A 19527-nucleotide genomic window follows, 5' to 3' on the forward strand; every position below is an offset into this window, starting at 1 on the left:
TTTTACAACATGAACCATTCTATGATACAGGCAATAGAACTAAAGCAAATCGTGGAAAAAGACTGGTACCATATAGCAACATTTTTCAGAGAAATAAAAAAGTAAAAATGTTAGACAGAAATTATGATGGATTTCCACAAAGTTAGTTATACCAAGTGTGCCTACTTCTCCTGCCTCCCCTTTCCACCTCCTCCACCTCTTCTGCCTCTGCCATCCTTAGACAGCAAGACCAACCCCTCCCTCCCTGTCCTCCTTCCTCCTCCTCAGCCTACTCAACATGAAGATGATGAGGAAGATCTTTATGACCCACTTCCACTTAATGAATAGTAAATACATTTTCTCTTCCTTATGATTCTCTTAATAACATTTTCTTTCCTCTAACTTTATTGTAAGAGTACAGTATATAATACATATATAAAATATGGGTTAATCAACTGTTTATGTTATCAGCAAAGCTTCTGGGCCAGGCACGGTGGCTCACGCCTATAATCCCAGCACTTTGGGAGGCCAAGGCAGGTGGATCACCTGAAGTCAGGAGTTCAAGACTAGCTTGGCCAATATAATGAAACCCCATTTCTATTAAAAATACAAAAATTAGCCGGGTGTGGTGGCAGGCGCCTGTAATCCCAGCTGCTTGGGAGGCTGAGGCACAAGAATCGTTTGAACCCGGGAGGCAGAGGTTGCAGTGAGCCAAAATTGTGCCACTGCACTCCAGCTTGGGAGACAGAGTGAGACTCTGTCTCAAAAAAAAAAAAAAAAGAGGTTAAGCTTCTGGTCAATAGTAGGCTATTAGCAGTTAAGTTTTTGAAGAGTCAAAATATGCAAATTTTCAACTGCACAGGGGGCCAGTGCCTCTAACTTGGGTGTTGTTTAAGGGTCACCAGCAGACAGAAAATAAGTAAAGAGAGAATATTTAAAAGCTACCAACATACTTAACTTCTAAAAGCGATTTATAGAAAACAACTCAACAACAAGGGAACACATTCTTTTCAAATGCACACAGAACATTCAACAAGATGGACTGTACAATGGACCATAAAGCAACTCTCAATAAATTTAAAAGGATTGTAATCACACTGAGTATATTTTCTGACCATCAGGGAATTAAATATGCAATTAGTAACAAAAATATATCTTGAAAATCCCCAAATAATGGAAATGAAACACATTACTATATATCACCAGAGAAATGAGAAAATATTTTAAACTGAATGAAAATGAAAACACAACCTACCAAAATTTGTGAGATGTTGTTAGCACAGGAAAAATTTACAGCTCTAACTTTTCATATTAGAAAATAAGATCTAAAATCAATGACCTAAATTTCTACCTTATGAAATTAGAAAGAGAGCAAATTAAATCAAAGCAAACAGAAGGAAATAATACAGATAACCATATAAATCAATGAAAAGGAAAAATAACAGGCTGGGCATAGTGGTAACACCTGTAATCCCAGCACCTTGAGAGGCTGAGGGGGGTGGATCACTTGAGCTCAAGAGTTTGAGACCAGCCTGAGCAACATGGCAAAACTCCATCTCTACAAAAAATACAAGAATTAGCTAGGTGTGGTGGCGGAAGCCTGTAGTCCCAGATACTCAGGAGGTTGAAGCCAGAGGATCACTTGATCCTGGGAAGTGGAGGCTGCAGTGAGCAGAGATTGCGCCACTGCACTCCAGCCTGGGTGACGAAGTGAGATCCTGTCTTAAAAAGAAAACAAAAGAAAAATAACAGAAAACCAATGAAACTAAAAGCTAATTCTTTGAAAGATTAATAAAATTGACAAACCTCTAACCAGGCTGATAAGCAACAGAAGAGAAAAGACACACATTACTCATATCATGAATTTGAGAGGGCATCACTATAAATCCTACAGGGATTTCAAGGAACAGGGAGAATTTTATGAACGAATTATGCCAATAAATTCAACAACCTACATAAATGAATAACTTCCTTGAAGACACAAATGATTAAAACTGGTTCAAGAACAAGTAGTAAACTGACTATTCCTAAATCTATTAAAGAAATTCAACTAACAATTAAAATGTTTTCCACAGAAGTATACTGATATATGCATTTTACTTTGAAACACATTAAAAAAAGATGGATTGATGGATGGAGATCTATCCTATGGGTTATACATGTGATAAAGCAAGTAGAGTGAAATGTAAATAACAGAATTTAGGTGAGGGTTATGTGGCTATTCACCATATAATTTTTTCCAACTTTACTATATGTTTGAAATTTTCCCTAATAAAATATTGGGTATAAATTCTTCCCACAAAGAAAACTATAGGTCCAGATGACTTCACTGATTATGCTACTAAACATTAAGCAAGAAATAAAACCAATCCTATACAAACTCTTTTTAAAAACAGGGGAGGAAGGAATACTTCCCCAACTCATTTTTTAAGAGCAATATTACTCTAATACCCAAACCAAACAAAGACATCACAAGAAAACAATGAACTTTGGGAGGCCTGGTAGCCTGTAGTCCCAGCTACTCAGGAGGCTGAAGTGGGAGGATCACCTGAGCCCGACGAGGTTGACGCTGCAGTGAGCTGTGATCATGCTACTGTACTCTAGCCTGGATGACAGAGTAAGACCCTGTCTCAAAAAAACCCAAACAACAAACAAACAACCAAAAAACCCAAAAATCTAATAAATAAGTTTATCAAGGATGCAGGAAAAAAAAGTCAATTAAAAAACAAGTATATTTCCATAAACTAGCAACAAACGACTGGAAATTGAAATTTAAAATACCATTTACATGACATAAAAATGAAATATTTAGGGATAAATTGAGCAAAATAGGCATAAAACAAGTACACTACGAAACACTGACAAAAATTTTAACAGACCTAAATAAATGGAGAGGTATATTATGTTTACTCCATTATGGATATGAAAACAGTATTATTAAAAGTATCAATTCTCTTCCAAGTCATCTATAGAGTTAATGCAATTCTAATCAAAATCTCACCAGTCTTTTTGCAGAAACAAGCTAATTTTATACAGAAATGGAAAGGACCTAGAATATTCAAAAACATTTAAAAAAAACAAAATTAGAGGGTTAGCTGATTTCAAGATTTATTATAGACATACAATAATCAAGACATGGTAGACCATAAATTTAGACGTATAGACCAATGGAACAGAACTGACGGTCCAGAAATAAACTGCACATACATGTTCAATTGATTTTTTTTTACAATGCGCCTAAGTACCTCAATGGAGAAAGAGTAGTCTTTTCAACAAATGGCAACATAACTGAATATTTGGCGGGGGGGAAAGAACATTTACCACACACCATAAAAAAGGTTAATTTGAAATGAATCACAGAACTAAATGTAAAAGCCAGAATTACAAAACTTACAGAAGAAAATACAACGAGGCCGGGTACAGTGGCTCACACTTGTAATCCCAGCACTTTGGGAGGCCGAGGTGGGTGGAACACTTGAGGCCAGGAGTTCAAGACCAGCCTGGTCAACATGGTGAAACCCTGTTTCTACTAAATATACAAAAATTAGCTGGGTGTGGTGGTGCACGCTTGTAATCCCAGCTGCTCAGGAGGCTGAGGCATGAGAATTGCTTGAACCCGGAGGCAGAGGTTGCAGTGAGCCGAGAATGTGCCACTGCACTCCAGCTTGGGCGACAGAGTAAGACTCTCAAAAAAAAAGAAAAAAAGAAAGTACAATGAACATTTTTGCAACCAGAAGTAGGCAGAGATTTATTAAATAAAACACAAAAGCATGACTCCTTTAAAAAGTAAATTAATCTTCATGAATATCTACTTAAGTTAAAATTGATCTTAAAAATATCTAGTATTTGAAAGACATCACTGAGAATATGCAAAGAAAAATGGCAAGCTACTGACTTGGAGAAAATATTTAGAGAGTGTGTGTGTGTGTGTCTGTGTAACAACGTGTGTGTGTGTGTGTGTGTGTGTAACAACCTGCATCAAAAATATATAAAAACTCATAAATAATACAATTTAAGAAAAGAAGAACAACCAAATTTTAAAAATAGGTAAATGATCTGGACACTTCACAAAAGAAGATATATAATGGCCACATAAAAAGCTGCTCTAGCCGGGCACAGTGGCTCATGTCTGTAATCCCAGCACTTTGGGAGGCCAAGGTGGGTGGATCACTTGAGGTGAGGAGTTCAAGACCAGCCTGACCAATATGGTGAAAACCCGTCTCTACTAAAAATACAAAAATCAGCTGGACGTGGTGGCACGCACCTGTGGACCCAGCTAACTCAGGAGGCTGAAGCAGGAGAATCACTTGAACTTGCTCTAGTCATCATGCAAATTAAAACTAATAATATTAAAAAGTTGTAATAAGTGGCTGGGCATGGTGGCTCATCCCTGTAATCCCAGCATTTTGGGTAGCCAAGGCAGGTGGATCATCTGAGGTCAGGAGTTCAAGACCAGCCTGGCCAACATGGTGAAACCCCATCTCTACTAAAAATACAAAAATTAGCCAGGTGGGGTGGTAGGCGCCTGTAATCCCAGCTACTCGGGAGGCTGAGACAGGAGAATTGCTTGAACCCAGGAGGTGAAGATTGCAGCGAGCCGAGATCACGCCACTGCACGCCAGCATGTGTAACATAGCAAGACTCCATCCCAAAAAAGAAAAAAAAAAAGCTGTAATAAGTATACTACATACCCAATGGCTAAAATTAAAGACTCATAATTCCCAGTGTGGCAAAGACATGGTGTAGTTGGAACTTTCGTATGTTCGTTGATTGGAATGAGAAATGGTAGAACCACTTTTGAAAACAGCGTGGCAGGCCGGGCACAGTGGCTCACGTCTGTAATCCCAGCACTTTGGGAGGCCGAGGTGGGCGGATCATGAGGTAAGGAGTTCAAGACCAGCCTGACCAACATAGTGAAACCCCGTCTCTACTAAAAATACAAAAAAAAAAAAAAATTAGCTGGGCGTGGTAGTGTGCACCTGTAATCCCAACTGCTCAGGAGGCTGAGGCAGGAGAATCATTTGAACCCAGGAGGCAGAGGTTGCAGTGAGCCGAGATCGCGCCACTGCACTCCAGCCTGGGGGACAGGGCAAGATTCTGTCAAAAAAACAAAACAAAACAAAAACAAACAAAAAACCCAGCGTGGCAGTTTCTTTTTTTCTTTCAACATATTTATTGAGATATAGTTTATATATTATAAAATTCATTCGCTTAAAGTGTACAATTCAATGATTTTAGTATATTCACACAGTTACGTAACTATTACCATGATCTAAGTTTAAAACACTTTTATCAACCCAAAAAGAAATCCCGTACTCATTAGCAGTCCCTCCCCACCCTGCTCCCCACCTGTAGCCCAAGCAACCACTAATCTACTTTCTGTCTCTATAGATTTTCTGGGCATTTCAAATAAAAGAAATCACACAATATGTGGTCTTTTGTGACTGTTTCTTTCACTTATCATAATGTTTTTGAGAGTGATCCATGTTGTAACATGTATCAGTACCTCCTTCTTTTTTTATGGCTGAATAATATTCCATGGTATGAATGAATCACACTTTGTTTATTCATTCAACTGCTAATGGACATTTAGGTTGTTTCTACTTTTTGGTCATCCTAAATAATACCGCTATGAACATCTGTGTACAGATCTTTGGGTGGATATATATTTTCATTTCTCTTGAGTAAACACCCAAGGAGTGTCATGATGTATATGAATCTCAGAAAGAAGACATAAAAGAGTACATATTGCATTAGTTTATTTATATAAAATTTTTAAAAAGACAGATCTACTCTACAGTGAAAATAATCATATCAGCCGTTGTCTATGGCCCAGACTTGGGGTGAGGACTGACTGCAAAGTGGTATAAGAGAACATTTTTTGGGTGATGGAAATGTTCTACATCTTGATTGTGGTGGTGGTTACATAAACATATTTTATTATATGTTAATTATACCTCAATAAAGTTAAATTTAAAAGTCCAGCAAATCAGGACTAGTCAAAAAAAAAATGTATGGCCATGGGCAGTAAGCTTGTGTCATTTTTGGTCTTAATATTCCATTTTGGGTTGGGACAAGAATGATTCAGACTGATACATCAGTAACTCTAAGCTAGGAGTTAGTATTTCAACAATGCTAATGAGTCCTCCCATTGTGCTCTTCCCCACCACCCCTGAACAACCCCATAATCCTCCCTGACAAATTAAATTGACTCCAGGTAGCAAACAACAGTGCCTGGAACTATTCTCAGCTGGGGACTAGCTACAGGAAGGTTTTTTAGTGGGTGTAATTACCTGGGCTTTCTAATAAGCTCAATCATTTGCTAAGCTGAGGAACTTCTGGGGTCCTGCCATTACTAAGGACACCTAACGAGGGTTCTGCTTTTGCCTTTTTTATGAAACTGAGGCAAGAATGAGAGATACTACATGATCATGGCTCTGCTTGTGGCAACTCACTCTGAATAAGGGCCAATAGTTTATGGATCTGCAAAGAGACAATATTTCACTGGGGGTTCAAGGAGAACGGGGAGGTTTATCTGTCCTTCTTAGGCTTACAAAGGGTCAGGTGGGACTGCTGTGAAGACTCCGTTCATGTACATCAGCTGAGAGGTCTAAGGTGTGCACACAGGCAAAGGTCTAAAATGAAAGTAGTGATCCTGATACATACTCCATGAAGGCCTCAAGGGCAGGTATGGTTTTTGCATTTTTGTAGCCCCTGGCTTGGCACAGCGTACATACTTCTGTACTTCTGCATGGAAGAAAATAAATCTGCGGAACATTAAGCCAGGGCAACCCTTCTCTGCCTTACTGCACTAAAGATACTTAGAAGCTGAGAATTCTTAGACCAAAGCAGGTCCTGAGAGCTTCCTTTGGAGGCAAGAATTGGTTCTTTTTTTCCACAACACTTTAGTAGCCCAAAGTGACTGAAAAAAAAAAAATAGCCAAAAGCACAGGAACTAGAGTAGCGAACTGTAACAAAACCACAGACCTCATCGAGTGAGCATCCCTCCCTCCACTGGGTGCTTATAGTGACTTTCTATCCAAGATAATCTGAATCTCTCTCCAGGGTACAAACACTCAATATAATTATTTGGAAACAATGATCCAAAAGGTAGACACAAATCTCTTAGACTACAGATAGTTGTTCTGCCTTTTAAAAGGTAACTTCCCTGTATACAGCCACCCTGTATATAATAGGCAGAAGGTTTTTTCCCCCCTTTCTATTTTCATTTCCTATACTTCAGGACCAAACCCAGTTTCAGACCCAATTTAAGCTGGCCAGTTCTCCCAGTCCATCCATGCCTTTCAAGCCTGCTACCAAAGAGCTCTACACTGCCCTCAGATTTATTGATCTGATAGGCTGACTCTGCCCTTCAGCAAGGTGAAGCAGATAATGAACCTCACAGTGGGTGATTAGTGAGAGGCCATCAGTTGGTTAAAAGGGTGGTGACATGACTTTAATTTCCCTGGGCAGTCACCCCCACCTCCCTGACTTTATTTGGTTGAAGCCCTAGACACCCCTTGTGAAGCTTTTTTCTTTTTTTCACTAATTACAGATCCAACACACACAGGTCCTTACCTTGCACAAGCAAGGCATCCAATCACACTAATGGGGCTGGGGAAACATGATACACAAATATCACATTAGAACTTCTCTTCTGGCTTGGCGCAGTGGTTCACGCCTGTAATCCCAACACTTTAGGAGGCCGAGTCGGGCAGATCACAAGGTCAGGAGATTGAGACCATCCTGGCCAACATGGTGAAACCCCATGTCTACTAAAAATACAAAAAAATCAGCTGGGCATGGTGGCACGCGCCTGTAGTCCCAGCTACTCAGGAGGCTGAGGCAGGAGAATTGCTTGAACCCGGAAGGCGGAGATTGCAGTAAGCTGAGATAGCGCCACTGCACTCCAGCCTGGCGACAGAGCAAGGCTCCATCTCAAAAAAAAAAAAAAAAAAAAACAACTTATTTTCTATGGCTTGTTGCATGCAGGGCACTCTCCCTAGCTCCAACCAAGAGGCTGACATCTCTGTCCTCCCCACCTGAAATTTCTTTTCTTGGAAACATCACATCTAAGAAAGGGAGAGAGAAAACATTGTCTTTGTTCCTAACTCACTGGTAATTCAACACGGGATCTCTGTCTCTTTGCCAGACCTCATTTATCTATCCCTCCCAAACAGAATCTTTTAACAGAAATCCCATCTGTGGGCTCTAACTAGGTGGGTCATTTTGAAGACCACATCTTTTCAACAAGATTACTATAAAAAGTCAAAATGCTGTTATGGTACTTGGGAAAAACATTTCCAATCAACACAGTTAATAATAGAGATACAAGTTTGCATAATGACACATGTGGCCTCTGATGTTACTGTAATGACAAACCATGTTCTTCCAAGAACATCTTAAAGAGTTCTGAGCCACTTCCTGAGGGAAGATGTTGCAGTGGAAACAAAAAGAACTTCCCCAAGATCTACTGGAAAAAAGGTGACTAAAAAAACTGAAGTGGGAATTCCTACCTGAACACTCTCATCTAGTAACCAGGATAAAAGATAATTCTTGGGTTAAACCAAGAAAGCAAGGACTCCTGTCTCCAGTAACCTCTTCAAAAGCTGACTACTGGCCAGGTGCGGTGGCTCACACCTGTAATCCCGGCATTTGGATAGGCTGAGGTGGGAGGATCACCTGAGCCCAGGAGTACAAGACCAACCTAGGCAACATAAGGAGACCTGGTCTCCACAAAAAATTTTAAAAGTTAGCAGGGTGTGGTGGCGCACACCTGTAGTCCCAGCTACTCAGCTGGGACTGGCAACACAGTGAGACCCTATCTCTACCAAAAAAAATAAAAAATAGCCAGACGTGGTAGCACATGCCTGTAGTCCCAGCTGCTCGAGAGGCTGAGGCAGGAGGACTGCTTGAGTCCGGGAGCTCGAGGTTGCAGTGAGCTATTCAGGAGGTGGAGGTGGTAGGATCACTGGAGCCCAGGAGATTAAGGCTGCAGTGAGCCATGATCACACCACTGCAGTCCAACCTGGGATATAGAGTGAAATCCTGTCTCAAAAAAAAATTTTTTTAGGCTGGGTGCAGTGGCTAACGCCTGTAATCCCAACACTTTGGGAGGCCGAGGCAGGCAGATTACGAGGTCAGGAGTTTGAGACCAGCCTGACCAACATGGTGAAACCCCATCTCTACTAAAAATACAAAAATTAGCCAGGCGTGATGGCGTGTGCCTGTAATCCCAGCTATTCAGGTGAGACAGGAGAATCGCTTGAACCCGGGAGGTGGAGGTTGCAGTGAGCTGTGATTGTGCCACTGCACTCCAGCCTGGGTGACAGAGTGAGACTTTGTCTTTAAAAAAAAAAAAAATTTTTTTAAAGCTGACAATTACTAGAATTCCTACTACCTCCATCACTGTTCCCTTCTATGCACTGCCAATGAAGCTTCACAGTTGCCTGAGAAAGCCCAGAAGTTTATATGACAGTCATTTCAAAATTCATACCTAATTGGAGAAAATGCTGACAGTGATAGAGATGAATAATAAGCTGAGCTCTTCTCTGCCAGTGACCTCTGCATTCATCCAGCTTGGCTGTGGGACATTCATTTTTAGTCTTTTTTTTTTCTATAAACAAAATGGAATCGCTATTTTAAAAACAATTAAAATTCACTGTGCTGGCTGGGCACAGTGGCTCACACCTATAATCCCAGCACATTGTGAGGCCAAGGCAGATGGATCATCTGAGGTCAGGAGTTCGAGACTAGCCTGGCCAACATGGCGAAACCCTGTCTCTACTAAAAATACAAAAAATTAGCCAGGTGTGGTAAGTGCGCCTGTAATCCCAACTACTCGGGAGGTTACGATAGGAGAATTGCTAGAACCCAGGAGGCAGAGGTTGCAGTGAGCAGAGATCACGCCACTGCCCTCTGGCCTGGGCGACAGAGAGAGACTCTGTTTCAAAAATAAATAAATAATAAATAAAAATTCCGTGTGCTACCTTTTAGATCTTGAACAGTATATTATCTACCAAAATAAGTAAGTAAAAATATTTTAGGTAAGGCATCATGTCTCACGTCTGTATTCCCAGTGCTTTGGGAGGCCAAAGCAGAAGAACTGCTTGAGGCCAAAAGTTTGAGACCAGCCTAGCCTGGGCAACATAGTAAGACCCCATCTCTATCAAAAAAAAAAAAATAGCCAGACATGGTAGCACATGCCTGTAGTCCCAGCTACTCGAGAGGCTGAGGCAGGAAGACTGCTTGAGTCCAGGAGCTCGAGGTTGCAGTCAGCTAGAATCGTGTCACTGCACTCCAGCCTGGGTGACTGAGAGAAACTGCATCTCAAGAAAAAAAAACAAAAAAAGAAAAAGGAAAAAAAAAAGTTGGCTGGGTATGGTGGCTCATGCCTGTAATTCCAGCATTTTGAGAGGCTGAGGCAGGAGGATCACTTGAGCCCAGGAATTGGAGCCTGCAGTGAGCTATAATTGTGTTACTGCACTCCAGCCTGCATGACAGAACAAGACCTTGTCTCTAAAAATTAAAAAAAAAAAAAATTAAGTCATCACGTCCCTTTAGTGTGTAGAAGAAACTTTATTTCTCATAGGGACCTTTCTGAGACACTTGATTGGAATAAAGAGTCTCTTCTCTCATTTATAAAGTTACCATACTGTGCCAGGATCTTCCACTTACACATTTCTGCCTGACTGGCAGGCACAGTCCCCAGACGCCTCGTCAGTGTTTTTTGTCCTCAACTGAATGGGCCCTTCCCAGTCTAAGACCTTCCCCCATCCCCCGGGAATAAGCCATTATCTTCACTCTCCTTCCTTCTTTCTCCACTTTCCTGTACTTTTTCCTTCAGAATATCTGACACACTTAGGTTGTCACATATGCCCCAGCCTGATAAAACTGAAAAAGCTCAGGCTTTGTAGTCAGACAGACCTAGGTTCACTCTATGGCTTTACCACTAATAGCTGTGTGACCCTGAAGAAATTACTTAGATTCTTTAGTGTACTCATCTATAAAATGATAAGTACATCTACCCCAAATAATTTACATAAGAATTTTTTTTTTTTTTTTTAAGTTTCACTCTTGTTGCCCAGGCTGGAGTGCAATGGCGTAATCTTGGCTTACTGCAACCTCCACCTCCTGGGTTCAAGAGATTCTCCTGTCTCAGCCTCCCGAGTAGCTGGGATTACAGGTGCCCACCACCACGCCTTGCTAATTTTTTTGTATTTTTAGTAGAGATGGGTTTTCACCATGTTGGCCAGGCTGGTCTCAAATTCCTGGCCCCAGTTGATCCGCCCACCTCGGCCTCCAAAAGTGCTGGGACTACAGGCATGAATCACCATGCCCGACCTATGACATAAGAATTAAGTAAATAACCCATATAAAAGTGTGCAGCTCAAAAACTACCAGTTGTTCCTTTCCTTTTATCTATTTGCACGTATTTTAAATCTGAAACACTTTCTCTCCTATCTAGGGCCTCTGGCAGTGCAGCTTATCTCCTGGTCCAGGGAAGACAGTGGTCATCCTAGCAGCACATCATTGTTCAGCTGACCCTCGCATGTGGGCCTTCTCAAGATGCCCTATATAACATAAAGATGATTACTGAGGATAAGCAGCTTGTAAAACCCCACCTCATCCCCACTTCTGACGTGTCTTTCTGGCAGTAGTGAATCCGGTGAACAACTCATATCAAACATTTTTCTGCAAACAGGTCAGCTGAAATGCCAGAATCTAAACAAAGGCAACAAAGAAGGCAGGGTTGGATGGCCAGTGCCGGTGTCACATGCTCACACTCGAGAATTCGCAAAGCAACCATCATTCATGGCTACAGGGAGGCAGTGAAAGACTACAATACAGGCTGTTGTAGAAAAACATGATGCCAAGCACAGAAAACTGAGTTATGGCTGTCGTGGGAGTCTTACATCTCAGCTCTTCAGCACATGTCTCTGCCAAGGCTGCCTTGTGTGATGGTTCGGGTCCTGTTCTAAGATGAGAAAACACCACAGGAATTCTCAGAGTGGGCTGCTTAGAGAGGCCTCAATTACCCTATTTGAGATCCAAAGCTTCCCTGGGGAAAACTTTTACTTAGGTGGCTCCCATGGGGAAAGTGGGTCACATTCACCTCCTGCTCAGAAAACCCCGCCACACAGCTTTACAGCCCCCTTCTTACAGTCTTCCTCAACAACCTGTGGTGTGCTGGAGATGGCTCACACAGAGGCTTGGCTTGTGAGAGCTGACTGTTAAATTTCAAAAATGGTGACAGCCAGCTGGCTTCACATTAGTAGCCATGGTGGGAGCATTCACACCGAACACTACCAATCAGCTCCCCTCCCACCACTCACAGCTCCACAACCCCCGGCCCCCCAGCAATTGTTAAACATTTACTAGTACGCCAAGGACCAACGACTCTCAAGCTGAAGTATCAGGCTCCATTTTCCTCATAAGTCTTTGTGTTCTCTGGCCCTTTCCCCAAGATCTTTCTGTTCTTCTCCTGGATGTTCTCACGTAATGGATGCCACCCAGGGCCCCTAACAATGTTGTTCCCCACAAACTGGGGTTCTCCTCTTATGAGTGCTTCGATCCTTTCTGGGAAAATAAAGCTAGGCATCATTTGTATTTCTAAAGAGCCAGCAGTTATTTATAATGACTCTTAGGATCAGGAGAAGACAAAAATGGTTTAGCAAGATTACCAATAGATGGAAATAAGAAAATACTTAGCAGCTTCTAACATAACCTTCACTCATTCAGATATAAAGCATGTTATTTCCTTAATTTTCTTTAACCTACTCCCACAAATGAATAACCTGTTTTGTCATAATACTTTTGAAGATATGTCTTATACAACATTATACAGGTCTCCTCTGAATCCAAAATCCAAAGCCCTAGTTAGAGTGGAGACTTAAACTTAGGAATCTGGTTACACCATCCTATGGCCCTGTGACATATGAGGGTACCAGCAGAACACCTTTCTGCTCTTCCCAGAAAATTTCTAAATTTATATGTAGAGAGATTTTTAGCAAGCTCCTGGGTCACTTGGTTGAAAAGAACACCACCTTCAAGATAAGTGTGCCCACTCTTAAAAACTGAAAGCAGGCTGGTGGTTACCAGGGCAGCTGAGGGTTGGGGGGAAGTTGTTCAATTCTGCAAGATGAAAAAGTTCTAGAGATCTGTGGCACAACAATGGACATATTGTTAAGTGTACTATACCATACACTTAACATGATTAAAACGGTAAGTAGTGACATGTGTGGGGTTTTTTTTAACTGCAATTTTAAAAAAAAGATTTACCCAATAGGCCTCATCATATGTCTACCATTGAGGCTGGCTCATACCAGGCCCCTAATAAATGCTTGTGAATTGAACCAAAGGCAGTACACTTAGGACAGGGATGAGAGTCAGTGCGATAGGGATTATGGAGGCTGTGATTAAATGACTGACATATTTTAAATCATCCAGCCTCTGGGTGTTCTGTGACCCAAAGACATGACTTGCTAGAACTATTTTCTATTCTTTCTGTCCTTTTCAGATCCTGGTTTTGAGTACACTTTACAATTTATGCCTCTTCATTTTATCCAATCCCTACCACTCCTCTTTCAAGGCCAAACTCCATTCTTTTCTCCTCCGTATGGCCTTTTCTGACCACTTTTCTGATTGTCTGCAGAGATCTTTCCCTAACAGAATAGATCCACTGGTAAGCTAACAATAACAAGTTGCCTTAAACCATCTCTTGCACTATTCCATCCTCTGATAGCAAAAGCCCTTTTGTATCCCTCAAATGCCTAGCACACTCAGAGGCAAAGAGCAGGCACTAAATACCAAGATACTGATAGCTGAATGAAGGTTGAAGAATGCAAGAATGGGCCAATAATTTACTTGCTTTCCAGTGGGATATTTCAAAGGCATAAAATTGGTCAGGAATGTGACTGAAAGCTTAAGGAATAAGGTGTTCAAAGAAGGTTTTGCTTTGAACCCTAAGTTGCCACTATGTTTGCTAGATATTCAGGGCTCTAGAAAATCTTCTGTAAAGGTCTGCTATGAAGCCCTCTCTTGCCTATAAGGAAGTAAGAGCAGATATAAATCACCATGTCACAGCATTTGTAAACCAACTCAAACGGTGAACAGCCTAAAAGCTCAAGATCCTCAATGAGCATTTTCAAAGGTCTGATGGCTTTGGAGGAAAGAAAAGTATGAGGTACTTTACTTTCCCACCCAACACTGAGATGGAGTCTTGCTCTGTCGCCCAGGCTGGAGTGCAGTGGCACGATCTCGGCTCACTGCAATCTCTGCCTCTCAAGTTCAAGCAATTCTCCTGCCTCAGCCTCCTGAGTAGCTGAGATTACAAGCACATGCCACCATGCCCGGCTAATTTTTGTATTTTTAGTAGAGACAGGGTTTCAACATGTTGGCCAGCTGGTCTCGAACTCCTGACCTCGTGATCTGCCCGCCTTGCCCGCCCAAAGTGCTGGGATTACAGGCATGAGCCACCACACCCAGCCTAAGTATGAGGTACTTTTCAAAGTAGCTAAGCTAGTGATTCTTAAAATGTTGTAAAAGGGAAGTCAAAGACCAGTTGAGGATCTTAGGAAAGATGAACCCTCTTCAATAATAATAATTTTAAAAAGGACATATGCATATTTTCACACACAATTTCAGGGTGTGTACTAACTCTCTAAAGCCTATTTATTCTTGGACCTTAGGTTAAGCATCACCTGTGAATTAGTATCATTCCAAGAAACTTCGTGGCAGACCTCTAGCACGTACGTGGATGCATTTCTAATATGATGCAGCTGATAATATCAAAATCTTTTTCCTAGTTTGAAAAGTAGGAATAGGGCTGGGTGCAGTGGCTCACACCTATAATACCAGCACTTTGGGAGGACAAGATGGGAGGATCACTTTAGGCCAAGAGTGTGAGACCAGCCTGGGCAACACATTGAGACTCCTCTTTCCACAAAACTGAAAAAAATTTAGTGGGGCATGGTAGCATGCTCCTGTAGTCTTAGCTACTCAGGAGGCCAAGGCAGGAGGATCGCTTGAACCTAGGAGTTTGAGGTTACAGTAAGCAATGATCACTCCATGCACTCCAGCCTGGGTGACAGAGCAAGACCTTGTCTCTAAAAAAAAATAATAAAAGTAAGAATAGAGGAGAGGGAGTATCTAAGAGTGTCAGATAGGATGGGGTAGGCAGAAGAACCTCCCTGGAGAGCTCTTCCATTTCAGCATACTTCTGTGAAGGTAGTAGCATTGCCTCATCAAGACAGGATATCCTCAAAGCATCCAAACCCAAGTATTTAAGTTTCTCTTAAATACCTGCCATCTACATTTATTTAGTACAGACAAAATGGTCATGGGGTTTATCTATGCAACACAAGTTGTATGACAACTATCCTCCCAGGGGAATGAAAATCAGAGTGCAGCCTGGTGCTCATGCCTATAACCCCAGCACTTTGGGAGGCAAAGGTGGGTGGATTGCCTGAGCCCAGGAGTTCGAGACTAGCCTGGAAAATATAGTGAGACTCCATCTCTACAAAAAATTTAAAAAATTAGCCAGGCATGGTGGCATGCACTTGTGGTCCTAGTTATTCAGCAGGATAAGATGGAAGGATCACTTGAACCCAGGAGGTCGAGGCTGTAGTAAATTATGATCATGCCACTGCACTCCATTCTGGGCAACAGAGGGAGATCTCACACACACACACACACACACACACACCCGCCAAGCAAACAAAAAGAAAATTAGGGTGCAGGCCACTAGCGAGGGACAAGCTGAAGACCAGAATTTCGGAAGGCTTACAAGGGTGACTGATGTGCTCAGGTTGCATTATTTGCGGTCCTCTTTAAAAGAGAAGAGAGCTAGAGGAGATGAACACAACTGGAAGCAGAGAGAAAGTAGCCTTAGAAATGGAGAGAATCAAAGTAGACTCAAAGTTCCTAATGTCAGAAACCACTTAAGCTGGTATGCATTCTAAATCTTCCAGTCTGACCCCTTAGTTTCATCTTTTTGGGAATCCTTATTCCTTGGCTGATCAATTTTCCTGGACATATCAAATGATTCTACCAGGTAGGGATGCATGCTTACTAAAAAGCCACACTGGAGAGAGAAAGGAACTAAATCTCAGTTGAAGAGGGGACAAGGGGCCTGAAGGACAATTTTGAAAGGTGTCCCAGAAACAAGCCAAATCCAGTAAGGAATAAACTATGAGTAGTTTCATAGCTCTTAGAAAAGCAAGTTGTATCTTCTCCGTAATCTTTATTCATAAAGGTATGTTAAATACAAAAAGAGGTCAAAATGCCCTTACCTAATGCTGTATATAAAAATTAACTCAAAATGGATTAAATATCTAAACATAAGAGCTAAAACTAAACTCTTAGAAGAAAACATAGGGGAAAAGCTTCATAACATTAGATTTGGCAATAACTTCTTGGACTTCTTGGATTTGACACCAAAAGCACAGGCAACAACAACAACAAAAACAAAACAAAACAAACAAACAAAAAAAAACAGGCAAATTGGACTTCACCAAAGTTTTTAAAAGCTTATGCATAAAGGACACTAACAATAGAGTAAAAAGACAAACCACAGAATGGAGTAGAGTATTTGCAGATCAGATATCTAATGAGGAATTAACATCCAGAATATATAAAGAATTCCTAACAGTTAACAACAACAAAAAAATTCCCCAATTAAGAAATGTGCAAAGGACTTGAAAAGAATTTCTCCAAAGATGATCTACAAATGGCTAATATGTACATGAAGAGATGCTCAATATATCATTAGGTAAATGCAAATCAAAACTACAATGAGATACTACGTCATACCCATTAGGATGGCTATTAAAAAAAAAACAGAAAACAAGTGTTGGCAAGGATGTGGAGAAATTGGGATGTAAAATGGTACAGCCAATCTGAGAAACAGTCTGGCAGTTCCTCAAAATGTTAAACATAGAATTATCCTGTGATCCAGCAATTCCACTTCTGAGTATATACACAAAAGAATTGAAAGCAGGGACTCCAACACATAGTTGTAATACGCCAATGTTCAAAAGCAACATTATTCATAATAGCTGAAAGGTGGAGATAACCCAAATGTCCACCAATGGATGAATAAACAAAATGTATATACATGCAATGGAATATTATTAAACCTTAAAAAGGAACAAAATTGTGGCACATGGTACAATATGGATGAATCTTGAATACATGATGCTAAGTGAAATAAGCTTGTCACAAAAGTCCAAATACTGTATGATTCCATTAAAGTACCTAGAATAGTCAAATTCATAGAGACAGAGTAGAACAGTGGTTATCAGGGGCTCAGGGTAGGGGAAATGGGGAGTAACTGTTTAATGGATATAGAGTTTCAGTATGGAATGATGAAAAAGCCCTGGAGAGAAGGAGAGCAGAGATGGTTGCACAACAATGTGAATGTATTTAATGCCACTGAACTGTACACTTAAAAAGGGTTAAAATGGGCTGGGCACAGTGGCTCACGCCTGTAATCCCAGCACTTTGGGAGCCCGAGGCGGGTGGATCACCTGAGGTCAGGAGTTTTGAGACCAGGCTGGCCAACATGGTGAAACCCCATCTTTACTAAAAAATACAAAAAATTAGCTGAGCGTGGTGGTGGGTGCCTGTAATCCCAGCTACTAGGGAGGCTGACGCAGGAGAATTGATTGAACCCGAGAAGCAGAGGTTGCGGTGAGCCAAGATCGCGCCATTGCACTCCAGCCTGGGCAACAAGGGCAAGACTCCATCTCAAAAAAAAAAAGGGGGTTAAAATGGTAAATTTTATGTTATGTATATTCTACCACATATAAAAAAAAAAGAGGTAAAAATGAACAAGCTTCACAATTAACCCCAGACAAATATAGCACCTGCATATATACCATAAAAATACATACAGTTTATTACATTAAAAAAATGTATGACCAGGCTGGGTGCAGTGGCTCATGCCTGTAATGCCAGCACTTTGGGAGGCTAAAGCAGGTGGCTCATTTGAGGTCAGGAGTTCAAGACCAACCTGGCAAACATGGCGAAACCCTACTTAAAAAAAACAAAAATCAGCCAGGCATGGTGGCATGCACCTCTAATCCCAGCTACCTGGGAGGCTGAGGCAGGAGAATCGCTTGAACCCAGGGGACAGAGGCTGCAGTGAGCCAAGATCGTGCCACTGTACTCCAGCCTGGGTGACAGAGTGAGACTCTGTCTCAAAAACAAACAAACAAAAAAGAATGATCCTTCAGTCACATTGAGGGTATCAACTGATTAAAAACTTTATCACGAATGATGAAGCCAATGACAATTAACAAAAAAATGTCATTTACCTTCTGGATGTCTGAAAAGAAACCCCAGTGTGAAAGGCTGGGCTTTGTTTAATATGCAATAATGGATTTACAAGTACCACCTTGAAATGCCTCAAACAGAGGCTGGAATGTGTCTAGGGGTTGTCAGAATTCAAGAATTCACAAATCTCTTTGCCAGAAAAAAATGGCAGGCTGGGCAGGCAGACATAGGAAAGTGCCCTGTCTTCTCTGCTAACTTACTAAATGTAACAAATTCCATTTAACATCTATCCATGCTCTTTAGGTTTTATTTTAGGGGTACTTTAGAATCTATTGAGGATTAAGTTCTTGACTTTTTTCTCTACTCAGTCTGCTGCTAACAACTGCAGGGCCCTACTGCAATCCATAAAACTAGCTCTTTGAGAGGCCATGAATACTGTTAACATTAAGTGACATTCACATTAATGCTCATAAGTGAAGGGAGAGAAGTGCTCCAACACATGCTGGAGATTAACAAGGCAGTCAAATACCTCTAATCTGATAGTGCTGAGAATAAACCAAGTGTACTGTAATGCTGTCATTTAGCACCCTTCAAAATCAGTTAGAGAAGAGAAGCAACAACTATTTTGAGGGTGGCTCTCAAGAAGGTCCCAGAATAGTATCACCCTCCTCCAAACCCCCAAGTGAAAAGGACTATTAAAAGAGGTAATGAGTACACAAAGACTCCATGAGAGCAATGACTAAGATTATTCACCACTGATCCCCACTTACCTTAGCACCACAACTTATATTATAGAAGGTATACAATAATAATGATAATTATTATTATTACTATTATTTTGAGACAGGGTCTCATTGTCACCCAGGCTGGAGTGCAGTGGCATGATCACAGCTTACTGCAGCTTCAACCTCCCTGGGTTCACCTCAGCTCCCACCTCAGCCTCCCAAGTTGCTGGGACTACAGGTGCACACCACCACGTCTGGCTAATTTTTCTTTCTCTCTCTCTCTCTTTTTTTTTTTTTTTTTTTTTTTGTAGAGACAGCTTCACCATGTGGTACAGGGTGGTCTTGAATTCCTGGGCTCAAGCAATCTGCCCACCTCAGCCTCCCAAAGTGCTGGGATTACAAGTGTGAGCCACCGCACCCAGCAGGTATACAATTACATATTGACCAAGTAAATCAATCTTGCTATCCTTTCCCCATTCTCCTATGAAATCCCTCTCCATTGAAATCGCTTCGTCTCTGGCCTGCGCACTCTTTTTGAGAGGCACTT

At 41.3% G+C, this 19527-nt stretch overlaps 1 protein-coding gene and 1 long non-coding RNA gene across 16 annotated transcripts in view; one reads left to right on the forward strand and one right to left on the reverse strand.

Moving 5' to 3' along the window:
- LOC101927445 (uncharacterized) overlaps window positions 1-11528 on the forward strand; it is a 27911-nt gene extending 16383 nt beyond the window's left edge. The window contains exon 3 of the long non-coding RNA XR_946261.3: window positions 11447-11528. This is a non-coding gene — a long non-coding RNA (uncharacterized LOC101927445). The remainder of the gene's footprint in view (window positions 1-11446) is intronic.
- ARMH3 (armadillo like helical domain containing 3) overlaps window positions 1-19527 on the reverse strand; it is a 210575-nt gene that overhangs the window by 22730 nt on the left and 168318 nt on the right. The window contains exons 25-26 of one of the 15 annotated variants that reach the window (XM_047425733.1): window positions 11895-11956; window positions 9530-9595 (exon numbers count right to left, since the gene is read on the reverse strand). The exons of 12 other annotated variants lie outside the window; for them this stretch is intronic. In XM_047425733.1, coding sequence (XP_047281689.1) covers window positions 11906-11956 — 51 coding nt within the window. In that variant the 3' untranslated portion in view covers window positions 9530-9595; window positions 11895-11905. Of the gene's footprint in view, window positions 1-9475; window positions 9596-10537; window positions 11957-19527 lie in introns of those variants that run through there. 2 more of the 15 variants (XM_017016635.2, XM_017016636.3) reach the window with 2 other exon arrangements.

Source organism: Homo sapiens, chromosome 10, assembly GCF_000001405.40.
Source record: "Homo sapiens chromosome 10, GRCh38.p14 Primary Assembly".
NCBI classification, from domain to species: Eukaryota; Metazoa; Chordata; class Mammalia; order Primates; family Hominidae; genus Homo; species Homo sapiens.